General features: G+C 32.4%; 1 annotated feature.

Moving 5' to 3' along the window:
* Positions 201-495: a silencer, noted in NCBI's record as "tiled region #3669; HepG2 Repressive DNase matched - State 13:Ctcf". NCBI's record gives its function as "represses a minimal TATA promoter and a strong SV40 promoter by Sharpr-MPRA in HepG2 cells {active_cell/tissue: HepG2}" and the evidence as "EXISTENCE:reporter gene assay evidence [ECO:0000049][PMID:27701403]".

Raw genomic sequence — 1,890 nt, 5'->3', positions numbered from 1 at the left:
GACCCATGACCAGCTTATATATGGACCAAGTGAGAGTACCAGTGCCATTATGTATACTAAATGTTGATCAATCTAGATTGCTTATGGGGGAGGATGAATATAAATAACTTTGGAAGTTCTGCAAACCTGTCTTTAGAGACCAGTGAATAAGATTTTTCAGTTGCGAATCCAAGTTAATCAATATTGGAGATTCTGGCATCAATATGAATAGTCATTTTAAAAAAGTATTTATCACACCTTTGCCACCTCTAATGTGTAACATTTCCATATGTCACTTAAGATATCTTGCCAAGTGAGATAAATGAAGCTTAAGAGAATTCAGTTTTATCTCAGCAGAGGGCGTCCCTTCCTTCAACAAGAGGCTGTCTTAAGACCTGGAACCTAAGCAAAGAGGTCATGAGAATAATCTCTAAGTCTAAAAGGACTAAATGAAGTTCATCCATTATCCAACCTAATGTCCTAATTTCCTGTGTGAGCTGAAGTCCAGAGAACTGCTCAGAATTCCATGGTTAGCTGATGACTAAAGAAGGACTAGAATTCAGGCCTCCTATCCTCAGCTCAGGGCATTCTCCAATATTCCCCACAGCCCTTTAATGCACATTTATTAGGAAATATTTATTAGGAATAGTAAGGCTAGCTCATTTACATTTAATGGAATCACTGATAAATTTGGGTTTTAATCTAGCATCTTATTTCATGATTGATATGTTCTACCTCTTCTATGATTCTTTTTCTCATCTCTTGACTTCTTTGGGATCAACTAAGATATTTTAATCATTAGTCTTCCCCTTTACTATTTTGGAAGATTTGCAATAACTATTCTTTTAGTGGCTGGCCTAAAAATTATTATTGTTTTCTATTTATTATTTTATTTTTAACCTTTCATTGCTAACTTATCCAAATATAATATAAATGTTAATCTCTATCATTGGCCTATACAATTCAGAAAGCTTAGAACACTTCAATCCCATCTATCTACATCCCAATTAATTGGCGCTTGTCACAATTTAAAATCCTATGTAATTTTAAAATTCTATAATATATTTTTATTGTTTTTTGGTCTTCACTTCCTGAATCTCAGATTTTCCATCTGGATCATTTTACTTATCCCTTAAATAATCCTTTAAAATTTTCCAAACTCTCAGTTTTTTAGAAAAAAGTATTTATCTTTACCATATATAATATAAATGGATATATAATATAACAATATATTAATAAATAGAATATCTCCTGGGAATAGAAATCTAAGTGAGCAATTATTTTCTGTGAACATGTTGACAATACTATTTTACTGTCTTCTGACTTCAATTATTAACTTTTAAAAGTCAGCTGTCGATTTAATTTTATTTCTTTAAAGATAATATGTCCTTTTCTTTATGGCTGCTTTTAGTATATGGTGGGCTTACAGTTCAGTTTCTTTGGTTTCCTATGGTTTCACTATAAAGTTTCTGGCAGTGCTGTTCTTTAAATTTATATTGTGTAAGCTCTATTAGGCTTCTTGAATCTATTGATTGATGTCTTCTATTAGTCCTTAATATTCTTGGCTATCATATCTTAAAACATTGCCTTTAGTTTATTCTGTCTGTTTTCTTCTTCAAACACAGCAGAGTTATTTTATAGTTTGTGACTAATAATTCCAACAGACATTATTTCCAGTCATTATGGGTCTATTTGTGTTGTCTGTTGTTTCTGCTGGTGTTGTTCAGTGAACTCTGTTTCCATGTATGACTGGTTGTTTTTGACAATGTGTTGGACATTGTGTTTTAAAGATTATTTGTACTAATTTTCACAATAATTTGAGGCCTAGCGTAACATCATCTTCTTCCAAAGAGGATTTTCCTCTGCCTCTGCCAGACACTTGAGGTGCTACCAGTCTGGGTCTATCTTAAA

The sequence above is a fragment of the Homo sapiens genome, chromosome 5, assembly GCF_000001405.40.
Source record: "Homo sapiens chromosome 5, GRCh38.p14 Primary Assembly".
NCBI classification, from domain to species: Eukaryota; Metazoa; Chordata; class Mammalia; order Primates; family Hominidae; genus Homo; species Homo sapiens.
This window is presented reverse-complemented; position numbering and strand designations above follow the sequence as displayed.